Consider the following 27,783-nt stretch of genomic DNA (forward strand, 5'->3'; position numbering starts at 1 on the left):
GATGACAATGGAATCCGAAATGCTTTGGATTTGAGAATTCAAGTCTTTTCAAGAGCACGGTGGAAAGTCAGTGAAATGTTATAAATACTCCAAGTAGCAGAAGTGTTACCGTATAAGGAGATGCCATTATTTACTAAACTCTCTCTATGCTATTATTTATTAAATACTGTCTTTCCGTGTTAAAACAAGTAAGGCTCAATGGACGTTTGGGCTTTGATGGTTTCATTGTGATCTGTGTCCATTCAAACATCAAAGAGTTTTGGAGATATGAGTGCAAATCCAATCAGACACAAAACCCACTGCCTATTTCTTTCACTTATCTAGCCAAAATTTATTTACAGTGAGCTAATATTAATCGTGATACTGAGGATGCATAGATGCTCAAGGTCCATCTCTTATCTTCATAGATGCACAAGCATGAAGGGCAGCAGATTTGTGAACAGATACAATATGCTAACTGCAGCCCCAGAGATATTCAAAGGAGAGACACCAACTCACATAGGACAGAAGGGAAGGATTCCAGAGAGGTGATCCAGAATGAATAGGAATTAGCCAGAAATTTGTAAGGGGAGGTTGGAAAAGAAAGGGGGGAAGAAAGGTATTGCAAATGGAGGGATTCCTCTGAGCAAAGACACAGAGGGAAGAAGCACAAGAGTATTTGAGCTGTCTGTTGTTCTTGAAGCAAAACAAAACAAAACAAAACAAAACAAAACAAACAAACAAAAAACCTAGAGATAAGGAGTGGAAAACTTATGGCTGGGGCAAGAGAGATATGACTAGAGAGACTGAGATAAGGATAGGGAAGGAGGTGAGCAGGTGACAGGTTCTCCAGAGCATTGTATGGCTGGCCAAGTAAGGAGAGTTTCAAGTAGAGGGCAAACATGGCAGATTAGCTGACTTGGATGAGATTATACACAGGGAAGTAAGAGAAGATGAAGGATGAAGATGGGAAACAGTAATAGCAATAGAATGAGGGGGCTGAGTTTAGCAATATGTAGAAGGTGTGCAGTTGGCCCTGATGCCAGCGCTTGCCTTCTAGGAATGAAGAGATTGGCTATGATCCATATATTCTAGTTCATTTGCATATATCATCTTTTATTGAATTTTCTGGCAGGATAATTCTTCAGGTGAGGCTGGTGTTTTAGCCAATCAGAATTATTATCCATAGCTTCTAGTTCATTTGCATATATCATCTTTTATTGAATTTTCTGGCAGGATAATTCTTCAGGTGAGGCTGGTGTTTTTGCCACTCAGAATTATTAGAGGCAAGTAAAAGAAATGAACTCTGTATAATTTAATCAGAGAAAGAGTTCTTAAAGGATATTGAGTAGTTCACAGAGTTTCTAAGGATGGCACATGGTTTAATAAAGACACTTGCAGTGATTTGACTTTATTTATTTATTTACTTTTGAGACAGAGTCTTGCTCTGTCGCCCAGGCTGGAGTGCAGTGGCACAATCTTGGCTCACTGCAAGCTCCGCCTCCCGGGTTCACGCCATTCTCCTGCCTCAGCCTCCCGAGTAGCTGGGACTACAGGCGCCCACCACCACACCCTGATAATTTTTTGTATTTTTAGTAGAGACGGGGTTTCACTGTGTTAGCTAGGATCATCTCAATCTCCTGACCTCGTGATCCACCTGCCTCGGCCTCCCAAAGTGCTGGGATTACAGGTGTGAGCCACCGCGCCCGGCCCCCTCTTTCATTGTTTATGTCAGTAATTTGTGTCTTCTCTCTCCTTCTTGTTAAAGAATCAGTGTTTGATTTACTTCATTTTCTCTATTTTTCTGATTTCAATTTCATTGATTTCTGCTCTAAACTTTTTAAAAAATTTTATTTACTTATTTTTTGAGATAGAGTCTCACTCTGTAGCCCAAGCTGGAGTGCAGTGGCATGATCTTGGCTCAGTGCAACCTCCGCTCCTGGGACTCAAACGATTCTTGTGCCTCAGCCTCCTAAGTAGCGGGGACTACAGGAGCGTACCACCATGCCCGGCCAATTTTTTGTATTTTAGTAGAGACAGGGTTTCATCATGTTGCCCAGGGTGGTCTCGAACTCCTAAGCTCAGTTGATCCGCCCACCTCAGCCTCCCAAAGTGCTGGGATTACAGGTGTGAGCCACCATACCCAGGTAAACTTTATTATTTCTTTCCTTCCGCTTGCTTTATTTTTGCTTTTCTTTTTCTAGTTTATTTAGGTGTATTACTCCATTTTGGAGACCAAATAACCATAATACCAAATCCTGACTAAAATAGCACACACAAATTTAAAAAAGAAAAAAAAAAAACAAAAACTGATGAATCTATAGGTGTAAAACTTACAAATAAAACATTTTATTAAAAATAATCACATAAATAGTTAATAAGGCACTTTTACTTCTATGGGATAAACTTTTTTTTAGCTTCCACATATGAGTGAGAACATGCAGAGTTTAATTTTCTGTTCCTGGCTTATTTCACGTAACATAATGTCCCCCAGTTCCATCCATATTGCCATAAATGACAGGACTTAATTCTTTTTATGGCTGAATAGTACTCCGCTGAGTATATTCACCACATTTTCTCTATCTATACATCTGTTGTTGAATACCTAGGTTGATTCCATTTCTTGACTATTGTGAACAGTGTTACAATAAACATTGGGAGGCAGTTGTCTCTTCCATATACTGATTTCCTTTTTTGGATAAATGTCCAGTAGTGGGATTGCTGGGTCATATGGTAGTTGTATTTGTAGTTTTTTGAGGAACCTCCACACTGTTCTCCATAGTGGTTGTACTATGTATGAGTTTACATTTCCACTTACAGTATATAAAATTCCCTTTTCTCTACATCTTCGCCAGCATCTGTTATTTTTTATCTTTTTTATAATAGCCATACTAACTGGAATGAGATGATACTTCATTGTGGTTTTGATTTGCATTTCCTTGACGATTATTGATGCCGAGCACTTTCATATATTTCTTTGCCTTATGTGTATCTTCTTTTGAGAAATGTCTGTTCAGATCATTTGCTCATTGTTAAATTGGATTGTTTTTTGCTGTTGAGATGTTTGAGTTCCTCATACATTCTGGATGTGAATCCCCCATTGGATGAGTAGTTTGCAAATATTTTCTCCCATTCTGTAGGTTGTCTATTCACTCTGTCGATTGTTTCCTTGGCTATATGGAAACATTTTAGTTTCATATACTCCCATTTGTTTATTGTTGCTTTTGTTGTTAGTGCCTTTGAGGTCTTATTCATAAAATCCTTTCTCAAACCAATGTTCTGAAGCATTTCCCTTATGTTTTCTTTTAGTAGTTTTATAGTCTTTCGTCTTACAGTTAGGTTTAGATGCATTTTCGGTTAATTTTTGTATAGGGCAAGAGGTGGGGGTCTAGGTTTATTCTTTTGAGTATGACTATCCAGTTTTCCCAGCATCATTTACTGAAGAGGGTGTCCTTTCCCCAATGATTGTTCTCGGCACCTTTGTCAAAAATCAGTTGGCTGCAGATATGTAGGTTAATTTCTGGGTTCTCTATTCTGTTCCATTGGTCTATGTGTTTGTGTTTATTCCAGTAACATGCTGTTTTGGTTACTACAGCTTTATGGTATATTTTGAGGCGTGCTAATGTGATACCTGCAACTTTGTTCTTTTCCCTCAGGATTTCTTGGCTCTATCTTTTGTAATTCCACAGAGATTTTAGGATTGTTTTTCCTATTTCTGTAAAGAATGTCATTGGTATTTTGATAGGCATTGTGACAGTTTTGAAAAATAGATTATAGCAGATATGATGCTATGTGACTTCCAGGCTAGGTCACTTGCTCTCAGAGCTCTGAGTCACCACGTACAAGGTCCAGCTTCCCCCCAGTTTTGCACAGAGACAATAAGGAGAAGGCCTGTGATTACAGATAGAAAGAAATGTTCAGTGAGTTTCTCGTTGTTTGAGTCATCCCAGCCCAGCCCCAGACATATGAAGTCTCCAGATGACTCTAATACCCAGACATTAGAGTCACCTCTAGACATTTTAGAATTTCATCCAAGGAGCCAGCTATTATGAAACAAGTCATCCTTACTGTGTTTTGTCCAAATTCCTGTCCCACAGAATCTGTGAGTATAAGGAAGGTTTGTTGTGCAGCAATAGATAACCAGAACAACACACAGACTCAGTGGCTGCATATACAACCTGCAACTTGTACCGCCATCATCACATATGCCAGCATGGATGGCAGAGTCTCTGTCACTGCTGGCCCTGGAGCACTGGAGTGCTACCACTGACCCCCCTCAAAAGGATGGATGCTGCATGGCCCCTGCTCTCCTATTCGATCTCTAAGGAGGTTATCATCTTATTTGTGGAGCCATATGTTTGTTACAAGGGAAGCTCGTAGAGTATTAAGCTTTTTCAGCTTCTAGAGTGAGAGGCAGGCTCTGTCTCATGGGGTGGGAGATTCCTCAAAGACAGTAGAGGAGTTTAGAGCCTGAGCTGCCTGAAAGAATATCCGCCCCAGGGTGCATTGCCAAAGTGTGAAAATGGGTAGAGTAAACTACTCTTGGTCAGACTCTGCAGAGAACACAGGCTGAAGATGCTGTGGTACAAAGCATCTAGGCTCCAAGAAGGAGGTGCTACCCCCTACTGGGGCCAGCTGAATGAAGGCAATTCTTTAGGGTTGTTACCCCCTGCAATTTCAGTTTAATCCTTGGACTTTAAGGTAGTACTTAAGTTTCCCATCTCGCATATTTCCTAGATCATGTATTCACATGCTCAAAATCCTCCAGAGGCTTCCCATCTCAAATTAGAGCCACAGTTCTTAATATTGCTGATGAGATCCTGCAAGCGCTGCCTCGACTCCCCTGCCTTCGCTCCTTTGACTCCCAACTCACCAACTATACTGGATCCTTGCTGTTCCTAGAGAAACCCAAGCACTGTCCCTCTAGGGATTTTACACTTGTTCTTATTGAGGCCTTCATACAAAGACCCCTACATATGAAACAGAGACTTGGCCCCACCTGCCATACTTCCTTTTCTCTTTACCCTGCACTATTTTTCACCTTAGCGCTTACTACCATCCAATATACTACAGACTTGTGTATTTCCTTATTGCCTGTTTTCTCCCCCTAGAATTTTAGCTACATGGGGAAAGGAATTTTCTTTTGTTAGAGGCCATATCTCCAGTGCCCAGAACAGAGCCAGCCTGGTATGTTGCAGGCCCTTAGTCAATATTTGTTGAATGAATTAAAGAATTGTTAGATTTGATGCCCTTGTTCTGATGCAACTTGTTATTGTTGTAAAATAATCTTGAACTGCGGCCAATGAAGAGAAGGTTTCTGAATGGATGCAAGTGTGTCTGTAATATAAATTTTAGTAATAATTTCTAAACAAGTGTATGTGTGTTGTGTGTGTATGTATGGAGGGGAAAGAGACACACACAACATTTTATGTATATAGTAACTTTATACACCACTGTACTGATTTATTTTATTCACATTACTTATTTCTTTCTAGAGTTATCTTACTCAATTGGTTATGTGTTTACTGGCAGTGCTGACTGGATCATAAGCTCCGTAAGGGTAGGGACTTTGCTTTGTTCCTTCCTGCATCTCCAGAAACCAGAATAGTACCTCATATATAAATTAGAAGGTGATCAATAACATTTGTTGAATGAATGATCATTTTAATCATCCTCATCATCACCACCATTATTATTTGCCATAGTAGGATATTTTGATTTTGGTATACCAATAAATAATTCCTATTGATTTGCAAGAACATGAATAGAAGAGAGTGGAGAATGGTATAGCCAACAAATAGACCAAGGTGTCCTTGACTGCCTGGCTGTGGTAGTGCTTGTATATGGCCCAGTGAGTTGGGAATCCAGGAAAGGGTGGTCTATTAACTTGCTGGTCAAGGACAGGTAGTCATTCAGTTGGATTTGGATACTTTAGCAAGAATTTTTCAAAGCTTTCGTATTACCTAGTGACAGCAAATGCGTGAATCAATCAAACAGGCATGCCAAAAGTCACTGGGCGCTTTGACATGAAGATACCAACAGCTCAGCTGCATACATAGTATTTATCTTACCCAAACCTTATACATGTATCAGCCATCCTTAGTTGAGTAAAAAAAGTCTTAGAGGCATGGCAAATGAAAATGAAAACTGGATTCATGGGTAGATACTTCATGAATGAGAAATGTACAAATTTAAACAAACGTGAGATGGTCTAATTTATTGGGATGCTTTTATTAAGCAAGTATAAATGGAACATCACAGGAGAGAAGGCTGGTAGTTCTTCAGGCTGTAGAAGCTGCATTTCTGTTCTAAACCACACCATCACGATCATTAGTCATTCATGATTGAAATCAATGATTCCACCTTCTGACGGCATTTGTTCACTGTTCCCAGGAACTGCCTTCTCACTTCCCTCAAGAGGGCTTTTAGAACTTTAAGCTTTCTCTCTCGGCCTGTTTATTGTGCACTGTTCATTTGCAGAGTGGCTGCAGTATCCTGTGCCAGTTTGGCAGCGTAAGGAGGATTTGCTCTTACATTCTCCCAAGAATAAGTGTTAGCTCTCTGGTGACTTAGAATTCCCTTCCAAATGACGACTGTGGCTGGAGAGCCCAGGAACTTTGTGCCAATCAGTCCTCGTTTCTATAGCTACGAAAGTCCCTTGAAACAGTGACAGAAAATAAGAGCAGATTGTTCTCAATTTCCGAATTCATTGATATGAAATGTTAAAAAAAATGCACCACTAAATTCACTCTCAAGGTGATTATTTTCTCTTTTGGTGCACTCCTGTGCTCACGCTCTTTTTCTCTCTTTCTTGCCTACTGTTGGGATTGTAGAAATATCACTGGTTGCTCCTCAAATGCCATTCATCCCTCCTGTCCCCCTTCCTCATGTAGCCCCTCATATAACCTCTTTTTTTTTTTTATTTGAGAAGGAGTCTCGCTCTGTTGCCCAGCCTGGAGTGCAGTGGTGCGATCTTGGCTCACTGCAAGCTCCGCCTCCCGGGTTCACGTTATTATCCTGCCTCAGCCTCCCAAGTAGCTGGGACAACAGGCGCCTGTCACCATGCCCGGCTAATTTTTTTTTTTTTTGTATTTTTAGTAGAGATGGGGTTTCACCGTGTTAGCCAGGATGGTCTGGATCTCTTGACCTCGTGATCCACCCACCTCAGCCTCCCAAAGTGCTGGGATTGCAGGTGTGAGCCACTGTGCCTGGCCCCTCTTTTTTTTTTTTTTTTTTGACAGAGTCTTGTTCTGTGTCTTGGCTCCCTACAGCCTCGACCTCCTGGGCTCAAGCGATCCTCCCATTTCAGCTGCCAAGTAGCTGGGACTACAGGCACATGCCACCATGCCCAGCTAAATTTTGCGTTTTCTGTAGAGATGGGGGTCTTGCTATGTTGCCCCAGCTGGTCTCAAACTCCTGGCCTCAAGAGATCTACCTGCCTCCCAAAGTGCTGGGATTACAGGAGTGAGCCAGAGCACTTAGCCTGCCCCTTTTAGTTGCTATTGATTTCAGGGAAGATTGGCGCTAACCACAGGGTATTTACTATGATTGGTGTAAGCCATTGACTGACTTAGGGATGAGCATTTCACTCAGTGCTTATCAATGAGATGGGAGGGGAAGTCTGCCTAGCACATTTATGAGAAAAATTTCCCTTCCTTAAAACAAAATGAGACAAACAAACAAGTAGAAGCAAAAATAGTCCTTTTCTGTTTTCATTTCCAAATGGCAGGTGTGATCAGACAACACCTGTAGGTGCTTTTACCATCTAGACACCATGGGGGAACATAGTTGAAAGACCAAGGAGAAAATGAGACTGTGAAGGCTGGAGGAAACCTTGGTACTTAATTGTGCTGATAAGTTCACCAATCTGGAAACCTCTTTACCTCCAGAGTTCTTGTTACGTGAGATTGAAGGAAAAAAAATCCTAATATTGTTTAAGTCATTTGAGTTGGGTTTTCTCCTACTGGCAGCTAAGCTCAAAGCATCCTAAACCATTTCATTTCTCCTTGTTTGCTCCACCTGTCTTTCTAATTCCCCTCTCTTCACTGGTTTGGGGACTTCTGAACAACAATGAGACTTTCTAGTAATTACTATGTCAAGTTATCAAGATGTTGAGCCTCCATTTCCAACAGAAGACTAATTATTGAGTCTATTTTTAAGTGCTAGAAAACTCAGTGTTTTTGTATTGTATTTTCACTATACAAAATGCCATTGCATATTTTTCTATTTCAGCAGGCTTTGAAAGTCCTGCCATGTGAGGAAATCCTAGGACAAGAAGATATTTAATAATCCCAAACGTACTGGGAGAAAGAAAATATTTCTGTCAAATCCCATGTTTATATATACATCTACGTCACTCTTAAGTAGCTAAAATGGATTTTTTAAAATCACAGGAATAACTTATAATTGTTCCAAACATTCTCTTTCCTTTATGTTCTCCTCCCTATTTCTGCTATTGGTGCTATCATTCTCTTAGTCATCCACACTTAAAATCTCTGATATATTTTTGGCTCCTCCCTCTCTCTTTTTTTTTTTTTTTTTGAGATGGAGTCTTGCTCTTTCGCCCAGGCTGGAGTGCAATGGCGTGATCTTGGCTCACTGCAACCTCTGCCTCCTGGGTTCAAGTGATTCTCCTGCCTCCGCCTCCTGAGTAGCTGGGATTACAGGTGCGTGCCACCACGACCAGCTAATTCTTGTATTTTTAGTAGAAACGGGGTTTCACCATGCTGGTCAGGCTGGTCTCGAACTCCTGACCTTGTGATCCACCCACTTCGTTCTCCCAAAGTGCTGGGATTACAGGCATGAGCCACTGTACCTGGCTGGCTCCTCCCTCTCTCTTGTGCCGGAAACCATCTGTTGCAGGGTCCCTGATGATGCCATCTTAGAAATGTCTCTTACAATCCTTCCTTGTGAACCACCCTCACTGCCACTAACCTAGGTCAGACCTCATCAGCAGCCTCCTGAAGTGCCCTCTTGCCTCCACTTTTTCTCCATTCATCGTTCTAAAGCTGGGGTTTGCCAGGCCCACTCACTTCTTAGTGAGTCCACACTGTCCGAGTGGTAGGGCCAGAGCTTGCACATGGTCATTCAAGGTCCCTGAGTCAGCTGCAGCTGATGATGCCCACCTTCTTCCTCATGCCACCTGCATCATATTCCAGAGTCCAGTCAAGTGCAGCCTTGCCCTTATGACCATGCCCTCTTATTTGACATTGAGTCTCTTTCTTGGAAAGTCTTTCTTCCTTACATTTATCTGTTCAAATCTTATCTACCATTCACAGATTATCTGAAATTATCTTTTTCTTCACAAGGTTCTCCTGATTCCTCCAAGTCAGAAGTATGCTATGCCCTCCCTTGAATTTCACTAAGATTTTATCTCTTTATCAATGAAGGCATTTATTACTGGTATTTACTACTTTCTTCTATTTATAATAGTTATTCACTGCATATCTGATGCAGTCTCCAAAAAGGTGAAGTTCTTCAGGACAGGAACCATTTTTGTTCACTTTTGTGTTATCTTTGGAGCATGTTATTTCCTTGACCATTGCAACCCCAATAAAGAAAATTGAATTACTGCAAAGTGACTGGCTTTCTGCTTCTTCTGGGTGTCCAAACCTTATCAGCTGATTAATTAAAATGTAATAAAGAAAAAAGGAAAATTATTTGATTCAGCTGATCAGTCATGAGGAAGACTTCTTTAAGGAGTGATGAATTTAGAGTTATGTCAGATACAAAATAGGATATCTTAGTTTTCTGTTTCAGAGATAGTCTTAATCAGAAAGACACTTTTAATAACATAAGTGCTTCAGGATTATTCACCAAATTTATAAGCATTTTTTGGTTTTCATCTGAAGATTATTACTTGAACTTTACAAAAGAATGATTGCTTTGCTTCGTTGAGAAGCATCACTTTCTGATGAGTCAGGATGTACCAATATCAAGATGAGGGATATTTTTATAAAAACAAACATCTATTTTTTTCCTGGCCAACTTTTCTACTCATCAGAATTAGTGCACTGCTCTTCACTTGTAGGAATCCTGATGAGACACGCAATTACCTAGTTACCAATTAACATAAAGAAGATCTTGTGGAACTTCGGGAATCCCTAATCAGCTGGTCTGCAGAAAAACAACACAGCCCACAGGCGCGCATGGGGGAATTATGAGAAATATTTGGAATCACTGTCCACATTTTCTTATCCTTACACATTTTTCCAGCTATTTGTCTTAAATTTAATACACAGTATGAAGTAGAAATAGACCCAGGGTTATTAGATCAGAGAAACTGATCAGGGTAAATATGTCCTATTCATTTCTACAGACTGATTGCTTACCGGGTAAGAAGAGAATGTAACTCCATACCACAATAGGATTTGTTCCCATTCAGTTTAAGAACAGATTACAAAGTAAGCACTTTCATAATTGGTGAAATTAAATTCCTGAGTATTTAGTAAGAACAAGGAAGATTTTATTTGCACAATATTCTCATAAAAGTAAAAAACAACTGAGCCTACCTTCCATCCATATCTGGATCTAACATTTCCTTCAACAGGTGGTGATAAAGAGGCCACGAGGCACTCAGAGAAGCACAGCAAGTAAGTAGAAAGAAGTGATTTACACAGAGAGTTCAAAAGGATTTCTACCATTTAGTTAAATAATACCTAGAGTCCAGACTCTTGTGACCCTGCAAATGCTGGGAAAGAGGATTTACAGCGAGGTTGGGCGGGGCTGATGTTACATAAGAAAGCAGCCACTGAGCCACGCACACTGCCAGATGCCAGGTCAGCCAGGAGCTCAGGGATCCAAGGCCCCTCTCAGACTCCTGGTGCAGCGATTATAGAGTTCAGCCATTTAGGAGAGTGTGACAGAGTGGCGGCAGATGGCCCCTAGCAGAAATAAGTTTTGAATCTGGCTCTGAATCCCACCCTCACTACTGCCTCTAGAATGTCATTAAACTTAAGCAGAGGAGAGGAATGTCAGAACCAAGACAAAGAACTGTCTTTGGTTGAGAGGGTGTTTCTGTCCACTTGCTGTGCCATGCAGGACGTGAGACGGGATAGGGAGATTTCATGTGTGTCATAGGCTGATGTGGTTCTGCCATTGTAAGATCAGCCCTCTTGACATAGTGACTGTTTCCGAGAATAATCATAATGAATCACAAACCTGTTAGCACTTTTTTCTCCTCCTTACCTGCCTCTGGCTGCCAGCGAAGTGCTGGGTTGAAAGTGTGTGAAGTGTGTGCACGTGCACACATGAACACGTGCAGGTGTGGTGGGAAGGGGGCACATGGGTGTGTAAGCAGTCTGTCACATAGGGAAGCAGTTCAGGGCCCAATAGCTTGAGGCCTCTGAGATGAGTTTACTTGTCCTGAAGAACAAGGGTGAACAAAGGCAGTGTTCTCATGGTGGTGACAGCAGCGGGGTGCAGGTCAGTGGAGGCTCAGAAAGGGGAAAGTTAAAATGAGCTATGAGGTCCAGCAATCCGGACAATAAGAAGGAGTCAGGTGAGTGGAGATAAATTAGGCCTGATCACCTTGAAGTTTGGAAAGAGAGGTGGAATTAAGGAGATACACTGGCTTATCCTTCAAAGCCCCCTATAAAACATGTGGAAACATTAACTCACAGCATTGAAAACGGATGTTTGGACATTTTTTATGTGTGTTAGGGGGTGCATATGGTGACCAAGAATGTCTGGAGGTGACCAGAGATAACTGTGGCAGAAATATGAGAACCAGTAAAAGCCAATATTTCCTGGAGGATATCAGCAATTGCCTGTGTAAATTTAAGCACTGGCCTATCTGTGAGTATCTGGCTAACTTTAAGACAGAAGGAAAACAAAGGAATTCATTACCCCCTGGAGGCTGAGGACAAAGCCAGGGATCTGGTCCAGCCTTTCCCCATAAGAAGACCAAGACAGGGAGGCATATGAAGACCAGGAATATAGTTCTCCAGTTCCATCCATGTTATGTTAAGTGAAATAATCCAGGAACAGAACGGTAAACAGTGCATGTTCTCACTCACATGTGGAAGCTAAAAGAGCTGATCTCATAGAAGTAATAAGTGCTACAGAGGAGACTAGAGGCTGGGAAGAGGAAGAGAGGGAAGACGAAGGAGGTAAGGGAGAGATAGGGATATATTTGATAAAAGGATACTAAATTACAGCTAAATAGGAGGAATAAGTTCCAGTGTTCTATACCATTATAGGATGACTAAAGTTAACAATTATTTTTACATATTTTCAAATAGCTGGAAGGGGGATATTGAATGTTCCCAACACAAAGAAATGATAAATGGCCAGGCGCAGTGGCTCACGCCTGTAATCCCAGCACTTTGGGAGGCTGAGATGGGTGGATCACCTCAGGTCAGGAGTTTGAAACCAGCCTGGCCAACATGGTGAAACCCTGTCTCTATTAAAAATACAAAAATTAGTGGGGTGCGGTGGTGGGTGCCTGTAATCCCAGCTACTCAGAAGGCTGAGGCAGGAGAATCGCTTGAACCTGGAGGGCGGAGGTTGCAGTGATCCGAGATCGCACCACTGCACTCCAGCCTGGGCAAAAGAGTGAGACTCCATCTCCAAAAAACAAACAAAAAAAAAGATAAATGTTTGAGACAATGGATATGCTAGTTACCTTGATCTGATCACAGCACATTATATGTATTAAAACATCACTATGGTACCCCCATGAATATGTGCAATTATTATCTGAGAATTAAAAAAGACAAGGAGAAACTGGACTTCTCTGAGGAAGTAGGAGGTAATGGTAATTTCTTGGAAAAATGAAGCGGCAGCAAGCTACAGAAGTCCTTCTTTCCATGAGCGGTGTGAACGGTGCTCCTGAACATCCACAGGCACTGGCTGGGTAAAACGAAATGTGATCGATCTCAAAATGCACAGGCTCGAGATTTTGGAGTCAATACATGTTTAAATTGGCATATCATGCTAGTTATGTCTATATCTACTCCTGTCTCAGTCTTCAAATAATTCCCTCGCTTAACGAGCTGTATTTTCCTCTTCTTGCAGCAATGAGATTCACCAGTGCTGCCCTGTTTGCGGCCTGAAAGCAAATCAGGGAAGACAGACACCTTCTCATTTAGGAAAGGAAAATTTAAACTCATCAGCTGCTTATGGGTTACTTTTCTATTTTTTCTTTTCTTTTTTTCTTTTTTCTTTTCTTTTTTTTTTTTTTTGAGATAAAGTCTCGCTCTGTTGTCCAGGCTGGGGTGCGATGGCGGGATCTCAGCTCACTGCAACCTCCGCCTCCCGGGTTCAAGTAATTCTTCCGCCTCAGGCTCCTGAGTAGCTGGGATTACAGGTGCCCAAAAACACGCCTGGCTAATTTTCGTCTTTTTAGTAGAGACAGGGTTTCACCATGTTGGCCAGGCTGGTCTCGAGCTCCTGACCTCGGGTGATCTGCCCGTCTCAGCTTTCCAAAGTGCTGGGATTACAGGCATGAACCACCGCACCCGGCCGGTTACTTTTCTATTGAAGGCAGTCTAGCTTGATGAGGATTGCAGAGAAGGCAGAACAGGCTCTAGAAACTGGATTCTCCAATTCTGTTTTCCACTAGAATTTTGCTTTGTTTCTTTTGAGGAAAAAGAAACCTAGAACACAGGAGGGCACCCTGGACAGTGAATGTGTTAACCTGGAGTCGTGGTGCATTTACCGTCCCTGCCAATATCTGCACTGCAGAAAGGATGTGGTTTTATTCTGCTGGACCCTCCGGTGACTATCAAGTGCTTGGAGAGACCATGACATGTAATGACATGAAAGTAATTTCGGTGTCACAATTTATTTCTCTTGAATTCACTGTAGATTTCTAATTGTAGAAAATCATCTCACCATGACAAGACTAGAGTGGACAAAAGCCTTTTAAACAGCCCTTTCAAATATTAGGTCCAAGTAGCAAAGAAAAGAAAATGGGGGTAAAAGTTACATTCTATTCTCAAAAAAAGAAATCTACCCAGAGAAACCATTGTCTTAGTCTCTCTGGGCTGCTGTAATAACACAGCCTGAGTGGATTATAAACAACAGAAATTTATTGCTTACAGTTCCAAGGCTTGGGCTGGAACACTGGGCTTGGACTGACCAGCTTAAGCCATGCCAGTAATATCTATATCTGCTCCCTTCTCAATCTTGAGATCAAGGTGAGCAATTTATTGCTTGGAACTGTGAGCAGTAAGTTTCTGATCAAGGTGCTGGCTGACATAGTGAGGGCCCGTTTTGTCATAGATGATACCTTCTTGTTTTGTTCTCACATGGTAGAAAGGGCAAACGAAAGGGATCTCTTTCATAAAGGAATTAATCCTACTTATGAAGGCTTCACCTCCATGCCCTAATCTGCTCCTAAAGGCCCCACCTATTTATTGCATTGGGGGGACACAGACATCCAGACCAGAGCAACCATCCCGGGAAAAGGGGTCTGGACAAGCATGGTTTTCGGTCCAAAGAAGTTCTTCAAAACGTACTTTTAACATTTCACTGGGCCTTATGAATAAACACATTTAATCCAGTCCCCCCAAATCCTAGTTAGCTGGAGGACATATTGTTTTCATTTTATTAACAGTTGCTAAAGCCAGCAATCCTTAAAGTTCCCTGGGAAGCATTGTGGAGATAGGGATGTGAGCTCATAGCCAGTAGCTGCAGAATGTATTATGGACTTGGGAAAATTACTTCACCTTTTCATTCTTTAGAATATGGAACTGTCTATTATTTGAGCTAAACTACCTGTAAGACAAGGAGGAAGGAGAGTGAATATTGTTATAGACGGTAAACCGAAGACTTAACAGTTTACCTGGCTTTATCTAAATACTCTTTGATACCAAAAAAATGATGGGAAATGTTACATCCTGCTGTTGATAAATAAGTATAAACAATTTTGCAAAACTGAAATACATCATGTGCAGAGAAAATAGAACAAAAGTTAGGTATTACTGAATAAAATTAAACATCATAGTTGGAGTGTGGACTAGAGATTTCTGTGCTTAGTCCTGAGTTTTGAGTGGAAAATGCAGTATAGCAATGTTATTGATGCTACAAGTATAAAGAACATTTTTGAGCTTAATGGAAATAAAGTATCCTAGTTTATCACTCTCAAAATAAATAAGCATTTGAAGAATGCTTTAATGTTGCTACTTAACTGACAAGCGGCCCTCCACTATCCCAGGGAATAATTTCTTGGAAATGATTTGACGAGTTAATTTTTTTTTTTTTTTGGAGACAGAATCTTGCTCTGTCATCCAGGCTGGAGTACAGTGGCATGATCTTGGCTCTCAGCTCACTGCAACCTCCACCTCCTGGGTTCAAGTGATTCTCCTGCCTCAGCCTCCCATGTAGCTGGGATTACAGGTACCTACCACCATGCCTGGCTAATTTTTGTATTTTTATTTTATTTATTTATTTAATTTGAGATGGAGTCTCGCTCTGTTGTCCAGGCTGGAGTACAGTGGCACGATCTCAGCTCAACTGCAACCTCTGCCTCCTGGGTTAAAGTGATTTCCGGCTAATTTTTATATTTTTAGTAGAGATGGGGCTTCACCATGTTGGCCAGGCTGGTCTTGAACTCCTGGCCTCAAGTAATCTCCTGCCTCAGTCTCTCAAAGTGCTGGGATTACAGGCATGAGCCACCGCGCCCAGCAACAAGTCAATTTTTATAACAGGACACCAGATAGCTTAGACCAAAATGCTTTAAGGATTGAGGTTTGCATCATTGAGGAGACAACCAAGATTCAGACTGAAGGGATATCTTGACTAGAAATTAGGTTAATGAGGATAACTTTCTGTGATTGTAAGGATTAATTTACATTAAGCAGACAGATTATTTGCTGTATTTTAAAAATTCATTGCTATCCGGCCATGGCTGATCCTGGGGAGCAGGATGAAGTAGAAGTTATTTTTCAGTTTTCTTATGCTTCTCTTAGGCAACTCGTGTCCTGTGCTTCCAAGAGGTCTGCCTTTCTGATGCTTTCTGTCTGTGCAGGTCCTCCAGCCAGGCCAGCCCTCCCAGAAGTCCTGCAGTGATCAACATCCCTCTTCTTTACCCTCTTCAACACCCCTGTCCTCCTAGGCTCTCTGATTTCAGTGGGTTCTTAGGTAGAGTCATAGGATTAAATCAGCTCATACTATGAGTTAATAATTCCTGACAGGGGCTAATGGTGATTACAAGTCTAGGGTGTTTGCATAAGAAGAACAATGTTCTACTGAAGAAATAAATCTTTCATGGTGACATTTCAGTGGCTTTGAATGAGAACCCTTCCAGTGTCATTGTGACCCTGTTCCAGCGATCTACCTCCTGCAGCCTCCTTGGAGTTTGGGCCAAGGTTCTTTTCCCTCAACACTGTGGCCAGTTGTTTTAACTTCACTACTTGGGATGGTAATTGGCATTAGGCGTTTTACCAAGTTCTTTAAGCCTTTCTTAATATAACATCTGAATTGGGAGATAGCTCATTGTGGCCTGGGTGCTGGACTTTTCATATTAAGTCCTGTCTTAGCCAAGGGAGAAGAATGTAAGGATAAGACCACCAATATCACAGGGGCTGTCTGAGCCTTTACCTGTGATTTTCTACCACTCTGTGGCCTTCTGGAGCAATGGTGAGTACTAGACATTTTGATAATGGAGGGAGTACTTCTCTTTGAGACTTTAAAAGCCATGTTCAAACCATATCTTTCTTCTGAGTTCTACATCTGTTGGCTGCAAGGGTACTTTAGGGTGTGAACTGGACGTCCAGGAGTCCCCCACTGTGACCTACAGCTGCCTGAGGGTAGCTGTAACAGGTGGCCCTGCTTCTCAAGGGTTTTCTAGGACTTCTAGTGTATGGATGTCCCCAGTTCACAAACCAGGTCTCTGTCTTGATTGTACAAGTTATTTTAAAGTGACAGGAAATCAGACACCAAGAAACTGATAAATTGGCACATATTTTTATGGAAAAACACACTCACTACAATTGGTTTCAGACATGCTTCAGTTATCTAATTAAGCAGAGTTTACTGATTTTTTTAAAAAGTGTGTTCTGGGGGTGGGAGGGATGGAGGTGTGTTTATATATGGAACTATGAAGGATCTTTGTGGTGACGGAAACGTTCTATATCTTGATTGTGGTGGATACACAACCTACAATGCGATAAAATTGAATAGAACACACACACACACACAAATAGGTACATGTAAAACTGGGTAATTCTGAGTCAGAGTTGAAAACTGTATAATGTCAATATCCTGGTAATGATACTAGAGATGTTATCACTGAGAGAAACTGGGTAGAGGATACGCAGGACTTCTCTGTACTGTTTCTTACATGCGAATCTACAATTATCTCAAAATAAAAAGTCTAATTTAAAAATATGTGTTCTGGCCAGGCACGGTGGCTCACATCTGTAATCCCAGCACTTTGGAAGGCCGAGATGGGCGGATCACCTGAGGTCAGGAGATCGAGACCAGCCTGGCCAACAGGGTGAAACCCTGTCTCTACTAAAATATACAAAAATTTGCCAGGCGTAGTGGCGGGTGCCTGTAATTCCAGCTACTTGGGAGGCTGAGGCAGGAGAATTGCTTGAATCTGCAAGGTGGAGGTTGCAGTGAGCCAAGATTGCGCCACTGCACTGCAGCTTGGGTGGCCAAGTGAGACTCTGTTTCAAAAAAAAAAAAAAAAAAAAGTGTTCTATGTCCCAGGCTTGGAGTATTTAGAAAGATAAAATTCATACATGCAACAGATAAGCAAACACACATGTTCACGACAGTTGTCAGGGTTCAGCCCACCACAGTGAGTACACACATTTTGCTACCTGTTGGAGTGAGACAGTTTTATGTTTGGGCAATGGACTGAATCTAAATTAGGTATCATAAAGCATAACCATCCTTTTTAGATCTCTCATGCACAAGAAAATCATGACTATATTAGAAATTCTCTATGCTGGTGAATGTAGTTGTTTAATGTGGCGGGCACCTGTGATCCCAGCTACTTAGGAGGCTGAAGTGGGAGAATCGCTTGAACCTGGTGGGCAGAGGTTGCAGTGAGTCAAGATTGTGCCACGGCACTCCAGCCTGGGTGACAAAGCAAGATTCCATTTCAAAAAAAAAAAAAAAAAAAAAGAAGAAGGTTTGTAACTCTATATTTGTATTGATTTTTATATTGAAGTATTTTTAAAAAATATAAAGAAAAAGGTTTAAAAAGCCAAATTCAATTCCATATGTAAGAACTTGGAGGAAATGTGTTAAATGTTTTATGGGTTCTTGCAATCTTTTCCCCACCACATAGACCCATTTGTGAGCATAGCATAACAATATATTATCCTTATGTGATAGCAGAAATCTTCAAGCTTCAGATAAAGAAACATTTATAGATCACCCACCTGCTCTGCTTTTATAATCATACTATAAATCTCTCATTGATTCAAAATGATTGGGAATAAAATGTTTGACTAATAGGTTACTGAGAGTTTGTGAGCTTGTATGAAACACAGCAATTACCAATTTCAAGGGATTCAAAGAAAGTCGAATATATTTTAATCCAATCACCTCAAATTCATTATGGAATGAGAGAAGGTAATAAAATAGTCAACATGATACTAAAATATTTATTTTTAAATTTGGATTTTTTTTTCAGGATCTGTTGGGGTTCAGAAATATCATTAGTGTATCTCAACTATTATTGTGAAAACAATTTAGGCTGAATTGATACAGAAAGTTGTTCTGCACATTAAACAATCTAACAATCACAGATTCCTCTTACTGTCATTTTTTCCCTATAAATAGAATGTAGACTATGCAATTAAATTTTCTGAGGTCTTCGACACTTTCAGATTTATTATTTAAATTTTTCTTTTTTCTCTCAACAATCATCACAGATCAAATTTCTTATTAGATGAAAACACTTCCATAAATTTGATGCCAGGTCCTAGTTTTTGTATGGTTTCAAATAATTTCAGACACACACAGCATTAAACTGACAAAGGGCCTGCTACATGGCAGATGAGTTTTCTCTTGGAATCTATTCTATAACCAAGCATTTTACATCACGCATAAGTAGCTGGTCTGCTGGTCAGACAGCTGAGGTAATGCTAGCAGGGAAGAAAACAGAAAACACCAGCTAACTATGAGGGAATCTATGCAGCTGTTACAGGATTACTTTACCTTCTTCAGACACACGTTTTTATTTCCATTTTGTGTAAAAACTTTCGTGGTTTGCAGAATTATGAATCCTCTTAAAGCTCTGGGACTTTGTTCATCCATCTCACCAACTGTCTAAACAGAAGTCTACAGCACCAGCAGACACAGTAGTAAATCTGACTTAAATCAGAGGCACTGATCACTTAAGCATTCTCCAATGTACATCAGCTTCATATAAATCATGAAAACTTTCAGGAAATAGATGCTGTGCAGCATTTATGCTGAACAGCAAAAAGTCCCCTAATTTTGTTGGATTTCTATGCTCAGGTGATTTTTTGCATGGTTCACTGGGATTCCTATTCCATAATGAACTTTAAAACACAAATGAATTGCAAGAAAATCCACTTCGTTTAGTTAGTTGCAAGGGCTCACCAAAACAATTCACCTTTTTCAATGAACTGGGCCAGAGGTAGAAAATACATTGGTAGTGAGCAATTTGTTTTTTGAAAAATTCATATTACTGTATCAACCTTCATTTTTAAAGATTACGTAATATTTGTTACTTCATATCTTGGGAAAATTATTTTCCCCTTGTGTCCTTATTTTATCTAATAGTGTAAATGCAATTGGTGCCGGCTATAATTCAATTGCTATTTTAAAATACCTCAATATGCCACTTCATAAACGTATTTATCTGTAGCTGTATCATCTATCTATCAATCATCTATCTATCTATCTATCTATCTATCTATCTATCTATCTATCTATCCATCCTTCTTTCAGGGAGTCAATTCTAATGGTCCTTCAAAAACATACTAATCAACCAAGGCAATTAATCTGCTGGTTCACTCATTTTCTTCCCTGGTTACTGAACAACTCTTTAAGGAGCTGTAGCTTTACGGCATCTCAGGGGGTGGGGGGTATAACTGATTCTGTCTTTAACATCCCTGTTGACAGAAACCATTTACTCAAAAGGGTGTTCACCACATGGCATATAGCTAATGTAGTAGTATCAGGTGCACCCAATCTTTTTTTGTAATCATCTCTTTTATATATAATTTTAGTTTTGTCTTGACAGTAAAGATGATTTTATTGTGGCAGGACTAACTCATGCTTCCAGCTCCAGATGGCTCAACAAGGACTGGTGGGGTACTACTATTAGGATTTTTGACTCAACACTTAACACCTAACAACAGAACATGCATGAGATCATAAGCTCCCCATTTCTCAGAGATTTTCAGACAGAGCTCAACTACTACTTGCCAGGGATATCGTAGAATAAATTTGTATAATACAAATCTTGAAATAAATCAGATACCCTCACACATATTTTCCAACTCTGTGACTATACGCTTCTTTGAAAATCATTTGTTAATGTTAAGCCTGACTGATATATCCCCTTTAGACCCATGCAGAACACGGCATTCCAAAACCTGAAAAAAAAATTAGCAGTTTGTTCTGGTCTTGAAAATAGGATCAGCCAAAATTTCCCAGTTAGGACAAAAGTTTCCTGTTTTCTCATTTGTGATGACACGCTGTTAATTCTTCCATTTATGCCAATGTAATTCGCTTAAATCCTTTTTTACTTGAGCAAACCTGTGGATGGCTGCAAGCACAGCTTATTGGATAACTCACTCAGCTATTTTGTTTGCCTGTTTGTTCTGTCCTGCACTACAATACTGATTTGCTGCCAGTTTCTTTTGTTGCACTTTCCATTTGGTAGTCTCCTTTCTTGGTTCACTTATGCACACTTCACAAAATCATCTCAACCAAGAGGAAGTTCATTTTTGCTGTTTACTGATTGTCAAATAAACCTACTTAGCATGTTCTTGGATTTGGTGTTGTCTAGGTGCTTTGTGGCATTTCTGCTACTGATGCCTTCTCCCTGTGGAATGTTTTAGGGATGTGAGTTTCTTTCTTGGATTCCCTAAAGCAAGCTCAATATGATGTGCTAAAAATTATTTCTTGATATAGATTAAAATCGATTGCTATACGATTTGTCAGGACAGAGTTAGGCTTCTGTAGTGGGATGAAATTATGCAGGTTTTACATACAAATTACTTCATTTTTCTCTTTTCCCAAGAAATGCTGCAGATGCAAAGGGTAGGGGTAAGAGCTGAATGCAGGTTTTATACCACTGGAAAGAATGAGTCAAGCCACAGTTACACACCCTTCAGGTGGGACACAACACACATTCCACACAGCTGTGCAAACCCTTTATTAAAGCATCAATCAAAATACAGGATGGATCACATGGTTTTCTGTTTTTGCTACTGTAATACCAACTTATATGAGTAACTTGTTTACAACTTTATTTTTAAAAGTGAACATTTTACAGTTCACAGAATCACCAGATTGACATTTCTGTCGAGACATTTTTCCATTTTCCAATTTTAACAAAGGACATCCAGAACTACTGAAATACAACAAACGAAATCTAAGTGCAAGCATCTTCCTTGATTCTCATTGTTAGCAGCTCTATGGTGTCTGAGATATACATTTGGAGGCTATTTTATTGGCTAAATAAAAATAATTTATGCCAGAATATTCTTAGAACTATTTACTTTCTATTTTTACATTCTCTAGCTTCAATTTTGATTGTAGTATTCTTAGTATCAGCCTCTTTATAAATTCTATCTCTAAAAAATCTGTTAAAGATCATTATCATCCTCATATGATATCTTCGTGAATAAAAGATAAATGCTCAGTCCTTTGGAAAATATAATAAGCAATTGTTTTATTTGATTTTTCCCCCACAATTGATTTGTGTAACCCAAACCTGGTTGATCAATGAAGAAACCCTAAAAATGTCATTAGGAAAATAAACTGTGCTATTTACTGAAGGATTTTTTAAAATGACCAGTATCTTGATGCTCAAAATATGTGAAAATACAATGAGATTTGGTAGATATTTTAAGAGTATGAATAACTTGGTTTAAAAACCAAGGATAGAAACATTTATAGAATTACTCAATGCCAAAAGGGTACGTGAAGAGCGGTAAAGGAAAGTATCTGAACAATGCTGAGAAAACAGAGTATCTGAAATGTAAGGTAAATGTTCTGTTTTGGTACCAAATGAAACACTGAAAGGAAATCCCCAGTTAAAAGAACCACAGTGACTGCCACTGAAGAGTTTTAGCACTGATCAACACTGTATTTCCTAGGGCAGAATAAAAGGTATCTGGTTTGCCTTTCTAAACCATTTCTTCCAGCAGCTGGAATTGGTGTTTCTACAGTCAAGTTAATTTGTGTTGGCTGCACGGGGCTTAGAGCATGCTGTTCCAAACATGCAAATGTCCTTTGTACCTGATTTTCTTCATGTGCTAAAGAGCTGAGCAGATCCTAGATCACCAATAAATAAAGATCCAAGCATGAGACTTGAAACATCTTATCAGTCCATTAAAATAATTTACATAGCCATAGGTAAATTCATCCAGTCTTTCCATCACATTGCTTTCTTGTTATCTCACATTTGCCCTTCAAAACAAAGTTTCGACAACATAGACTGGTGCAATTAAAAATGAAACAAACAATAAAAACAGATAAAGGAGGAAAGGGGAATTCCAGAACCCCATTGTGTGAGATGTCAGGTCTTTCAACCTTAGTTGTGAAAAACAAATGCTCATAAGCATCCAAGACAAATCATTCTGGACATAATGACACAGCACAATAATGCTTGGGATGGATGAGACATTCAGAGATTTTTAGAGCGATTTCTAGAAGCTATATATCACATGTATCACGTTTGGTTCCTAGAGATTTTAGTCAAGTATTAGTATTTCTTTTTGCTAAGTATGGTATACAAAAAGATGAGGATAGATGTGCCCTAGAGATATGAAAATATAATATATAAAACAAAACCATTATAAATTACATAGATTTTTCCATATAAAATTGTTTTCCCCATTTAGAATAAATACCATCCAAGTTTACAGATCATCTAAGTGAATTAAATGTACACACATATGTGAATCATTTTCAGAATTTCAAGAAAAACATTGCTAGAGATATGACCAGGATGACTCAGAAGCCAGAAATTGATTTTACAAACGACTACATACGACCCAAAGGACGAGGCTTTGGATTTAGTGTGAAGCTTTTAAAACTGCCCAAATGAGTCCAATGTGCACGAGTGTGTATGCACACACGTTCAGTCACACTCGCATGAATTTCTATGAAGCTGAACAGTTCACTTTATCTTTGAAAAATCAGCTGAAAGTCATGAGGTCTTCTGCATTTCATATTCTAGCAGGAGGGCCTCTCATTTCATAAAGAAGCTGTAGGATGGATAGGAAGAGTGTAGCATTTTTGGAAGGAGAAATTCCCATTTTAAGTCAACCTCCCTTTATGTCAGTTGTTATCAAAACCGAGAGCATTATGATGCCTTAAAGAGGGAGAAAGTTTTGAAAATCTACATAAGCTCTCCCCACTGCAGTCTAAAGCAGCAAAACCAATCAGGAAACATTCTTTGGCCGCATATTTCTGCTCTTGCTCCACTGAAAATCTGCCCACTTTTAGCTTATTATCACTATTCAATGTCTAGGTGGAATGGATGCCTTCTCCTTTCCATGTGGAAACCTACACATGGGTTTGGGTGGAATGACAACTGAATAGGATGGGGTAACATCCATACAGTATCACAAAATGAACTTAAGTCCTCTGTTGTTGCTTTGGGCATATAAACCCATGGTAATGAATCTGTGGACCTCCATGACAACTGGAAAATTTTTATATTCTAAGAGGTGGTGTTAAAACTTTTCTGCAACCCAAAAACATACAATGCTAGTCCAGAAAGCCCAACAGGAGTCATAATTTCTCCTGATTTCTCACTGCTCATTTCTTTATGTGACTGCCCAAAGCACTTCTAACCAGAAGTCAACAGTTCAGTCCTTTTCAAGAGATGTCTCATCAAACTCCATGACTAGTTCTATCACCTTCCACAACAGTTATCTATAAACAAACTAATCAAGGCTAGGTTTAAAACCAAGCCCACTGCTCTCAATTACAGAGCCAGATAATGTTTGTTGTAAAGTTTGGATGGCAAAAGTATCCAATTTCATGGACCCATTTTTTGCTTGTCTCATGCAACGGGGGTTGGTTATCCTGGAAGACTGCAAACTTTCTGTGAACTATAAATGTTTCAACTAGAAGGGATCCTGTAGACCCTCGAGTACTACCTGCATATTTTACAGATGAAAAAGATTAAATCCCAGAGAGAGGAAGGGAGTTGTCCAAGGTCACCTCCTCAGATGGTGACAGAGTGAGGACTAAACATCTGGGTCTGCTCTCATCACCAATGTGATCCATGCAATCTTGGACATCATAACCCCATTACCTGATGTGGCCACGGCCCCTATGAATTTATTAAGATTACTGTCTCCTTTGCTTTTAAGGGAAAATTAAATAAAACCACTCATTCTCACCAATATTAAATCTTAATTGCAGATGTGGTCCTAATGGTTTTTTTGGAAGGAGAAGATCCACAATTTGTTTAAAATGCTATTTCTCAAAACCAACATTCTTATTTAAGTAATGAAGCATGAAAATGTTAGGTGGACCAAGAGATGAAAGCAAAAATCTTTAAAGTCATTGTGAAAAGGAGCAAGGATGTGAATATTGGTTTGGTTCTGTGTGACAGTGATACCATTTCAACAGTGCTCAGAGCTCATGTCATCTGCCCCTTCTACAGATAAGGGACCTGAGGTCCAGACTTGTCCAAAGCCAGGCAGCTGGTTATTGGCACAGTGGGTATTAAGCCTTTGGATGACTAATTTTGTCTTCTTTCCATAACATCACGCACCTCACATATAACCACTTTCTTGCAGGACTGCATAATTATTCAACAGTTTTGGCATAAAATCTGATGGCACAGTTCCCTTTGCTATTACCCTAACCTTTCGCTTTCCTCTTTAAGGACAACCAAGTCAGCTATGCAGTTCATAAAAGTGGACCTGGTTATATGTCATCCAACAGCATATGGTCCCTGCAAGCCTGTTTGGAAGCCAATATTCTATAACCTACAGGAATCCACTGAATCTGATGTCTTTGGAAGCAATATATTTTCCAGGTAAAGAATCAGTCTTTATTTGGAGGATGATGTAACTTAAACAGTGACTTTCATGGGTGGTGTGGGTATATTTAACCTTTTACAATCTCCCTCTACATCTCAGCTGAGCTCACCAAAAGGCTCACTCAATCAGACAGGTAAACACATTTTTGACTATTAAAGTGCTATTCCGGGGCAAAGTTTTTCTCAGTTTCGTTTAACAGCAGCTTCGTTGGAAACAAACAAAAAAAGCTATCTATGGAAATAGGCCTGGGGAATGAAAAAAAAATAACAAGCCTCGTAACTACTTTGGAACATGACAAATGTAATGTGACTTGTAGATATCAGCCCTGGTACTGGTGACTGATACCAAAGTCTCTGAGGTACGTGTTCTAGGGAAACATAAGGACAAAAGTGGCAATGAGGACTAAACCAGAAAGAACAATTAGTATTAATAACAATGACCCCATTATAAAGGAAAAGCAAAATTAAAACTGAGAAGAAACTGCAAAAAACCCACGTACGTGCATTTGCTATTGTAGCAGACCTATACTTTTTAAAAGGAAAAGCAATGCAGGGGGCACTGGACAGGGTTCTTGAACTCAGAATATCTTACAGTGGTGTACTCTTTGCCAAGAAGGCATCACCAATTAAGGTATTTGGCAGAGATCAGCCTCTGAAACTCATTATCACATAGACACCTTCTGTCTGGTATCAATTCTGCACCCTGATGTTTCTCGCACCCTTCTCTACTGGGGAAATTCCAGTCCCATTCACTGCAGGCAGGTGTTTCTCCTTTTAAAGTGGCATCACTCCTACCTAAGGGATGAGAGTCTCCTGGTAAGGCTTAGCGGCAAGTGCGTACTACATCTGTATTACAAGGAGCAGCCCCTGATTTTCTTGATATGCATAGCTTTTCGGGGTTGGTATTAGACATGGCTTTCGTAAATAATGCAGGTGTTTTTGTCATGTGTCACTGCTGGCTCTGTGGCTTCCAGGTAAGCTGGCGGCAGTACCTTATCTGGTACCTCAACAGGTGTTGGCTCTTCAGATGTTAGCTCGGTGGACGTGACATCGGTAGAAGGTTCTGCAGTTTCGGGGGAATGTTCCGCCGACAGTTCTGTCTCCTCTACATCTTTGACTTCAAACTGTCCACCCTCTTGGTCATCTGCATGCTCTTTTTTGGACTGCGGGTGAACTGACACCTTGATGGCAATTTGCTGAGGTTGCTCGTGCAGCGATGAGGCGTCCGAGTCAGCGGCAGGGGAGTCGCTCCGCTTCAGAGAGTTGGGGATTGTGTAGACCTCATCCCTGTCTGCGGCCTCCTGGCCCTCTGGAGTATGCCTCACAAAATTCTGCCCCTGCTCCTCCAGCCCAACCACCTCCATAATCTCCTCCATGATAGTCCTGCAGTTCATAATGAGAGGCGGCAGAGGCACGCTCCTGGCAAGCTCTTCGATGTAGCGGGCGAACTCCATGGTTTTGAACTGGGTGACTTTGGCAAGCTCTAGAGTTTTGGCGGAGGTGATGATGGGGATGCGCTTGGCGATCTCAAATGCCTTCTGCAGCTTCTCTGCACCTTCGGTCCTAAAGAACTCATTGATGGCCTTCTCAGTCTTCTTTAGATGGCTGCTCATCATGCACAGGCGGGTGATATTGAGGACCATGACGATGGTGAAGGCCACCAGGCACACGACCATGTAGTAGACACCCATGTCTCCAGAAGTGAAGATGACGCGCAAGGTCACCGTGTTGTTCACGGTGCCGTAGATGTTAGAAGCCACACACGTGTATTTACCTCGGTCTGAGAAGGATACCTTGGTGATGTTCAGGAGGCCGCTGTCGTGCATTTGCCATTTTCCTGTCGGAAGGGAGAGAAGAGAATTCAACCAAGGACACAGAGCTCCCATGACTACAAACTGATACGTTTCTAAGAACATCTATGAACATCTATGAAGAACATCTATGAAGTCTATGAACGTCGACTTCACATGCTTACTATGCGGCAGGCAGTGACATGCATCAGCTCATTTAATCCTCACAATAACTCTGCAAGGTGGCCCCTGACACTGCCTCCGTTTTACAGGATGAGGAAACTGAGGCACAGTCAGGTTAGACAACACTCCCAAGGGCACCGGCTTGGAAGCCGTAGAACTGAAGATGAACTTGAGTTCCAGAGGCTGCACTCTTAACTACCAAACCATATTGTCTAACTCCACATCCTAGTGAAAAATGAGAGAAACAATCTGGAAAACACTGTGCTCTTATTGAAGAGTTCCTTAACTTTAAAAGCAACTGGTTCTCTAACCTGCCAGTGAGCATGCCTCCATTGAATATATGTTCACTGGGGAGGTTAATGCAATTAAATTGTTTACCTGAGTTTCTCAAATTTAAGATTGAAGTAATCCTTGTATGATCTCAGTTAATTAAAACATAATTTGTATCATTCATTTTGAGACTCCACAGTGAATTATCTATACTATTTAAAGTTACAAGCTAACAATGTGAGTATTCAGAGGCTGGATATGAATTAATATCAATTTGTTTTAGCCTTGCAAATAAATTACAGACCCATCAAGTTGAAAATAAGCTTGACACGAAGGAGAACACATACTGATAATAAATGCGAGTTTTCTTACCCCCACCACCCTCTCTGGAAA

The 27,783-nt window shown here is 40.4% G+C and overlaps 1 protein-coding gene and 1 long non-coding RNA gene across 14 annotated transcripts in view, besides 1 other annotated feature; both read right to left on the bottom strand.

Annotated features, from left to right (window-relative positions):
* The window catches only part of LINC02275 (long intergenic non-protein coding RNA 2275), a 58,142-nt gene extending 47,565 nt beyond the window's left edge, over window positions 1-10,577 (bottom strand). Inside the window, exon 1 of the long non-coding RNA NR_037878.1 lies at window positions 10,491-10,577. This is a non-coding gene — a long non-coding RNA (long intergenic non-protein coding RNA 2275). The remainder of the gene's footprint in view (window positions 1-10,490) is intronic.
* Window positions 10,581-11,324: an enhancer, noted in NCBI's record as "H3K4me1 hESC enhancer chr4:170897057-170897800 (GRCh37/hg19 assembly coordinates)". NCBI's record gives its function as "activates a minimal SCP1, AML or CMV promoter by ChIP-STARR-seq in naive and primed H9 embryonic stem cells {active_cell/tissue: H9 hESC(naive and primed)}" and the evidence as "EXISTENCE:reporter gene assay evidence [ECO:0000049][PMID:30033119]".
* Window positions 21,277-27,783, bottom strand: part of MFAP3L (microfibril associated protein 3 like) — a 40,676-nt gene continuing 34,169 nt past the window's right edge. For all 13 annotated transcript variants that reach the window (XM_047416460.1, XM_017008867.3, XM_017008865.3 and 10 more), the window contains one exon: window positions 21,277-26,984. In XM_047416460.1, the coding sequence (XP_047272416.1) occupies window positions 26,053-26,984 (932 nt within the window). In that variant the 3' untranslated portion in view covers window positions 21,277-26,052. The remainder of the gene's footprint in view (window positions 26,985-27,783) is intronic.

Source organism: Homo sapiens, chromosome 4 (genome assembly GCF_000001405.40).
Source record: "Homo sapiens chromosome 4, GRCh38.p14 Primary Assembly".
NCBI lineage: Eukaryota > Metazoa > Chordata > Mammalia > Primates > Hominidae > Homo > Homo sapiens.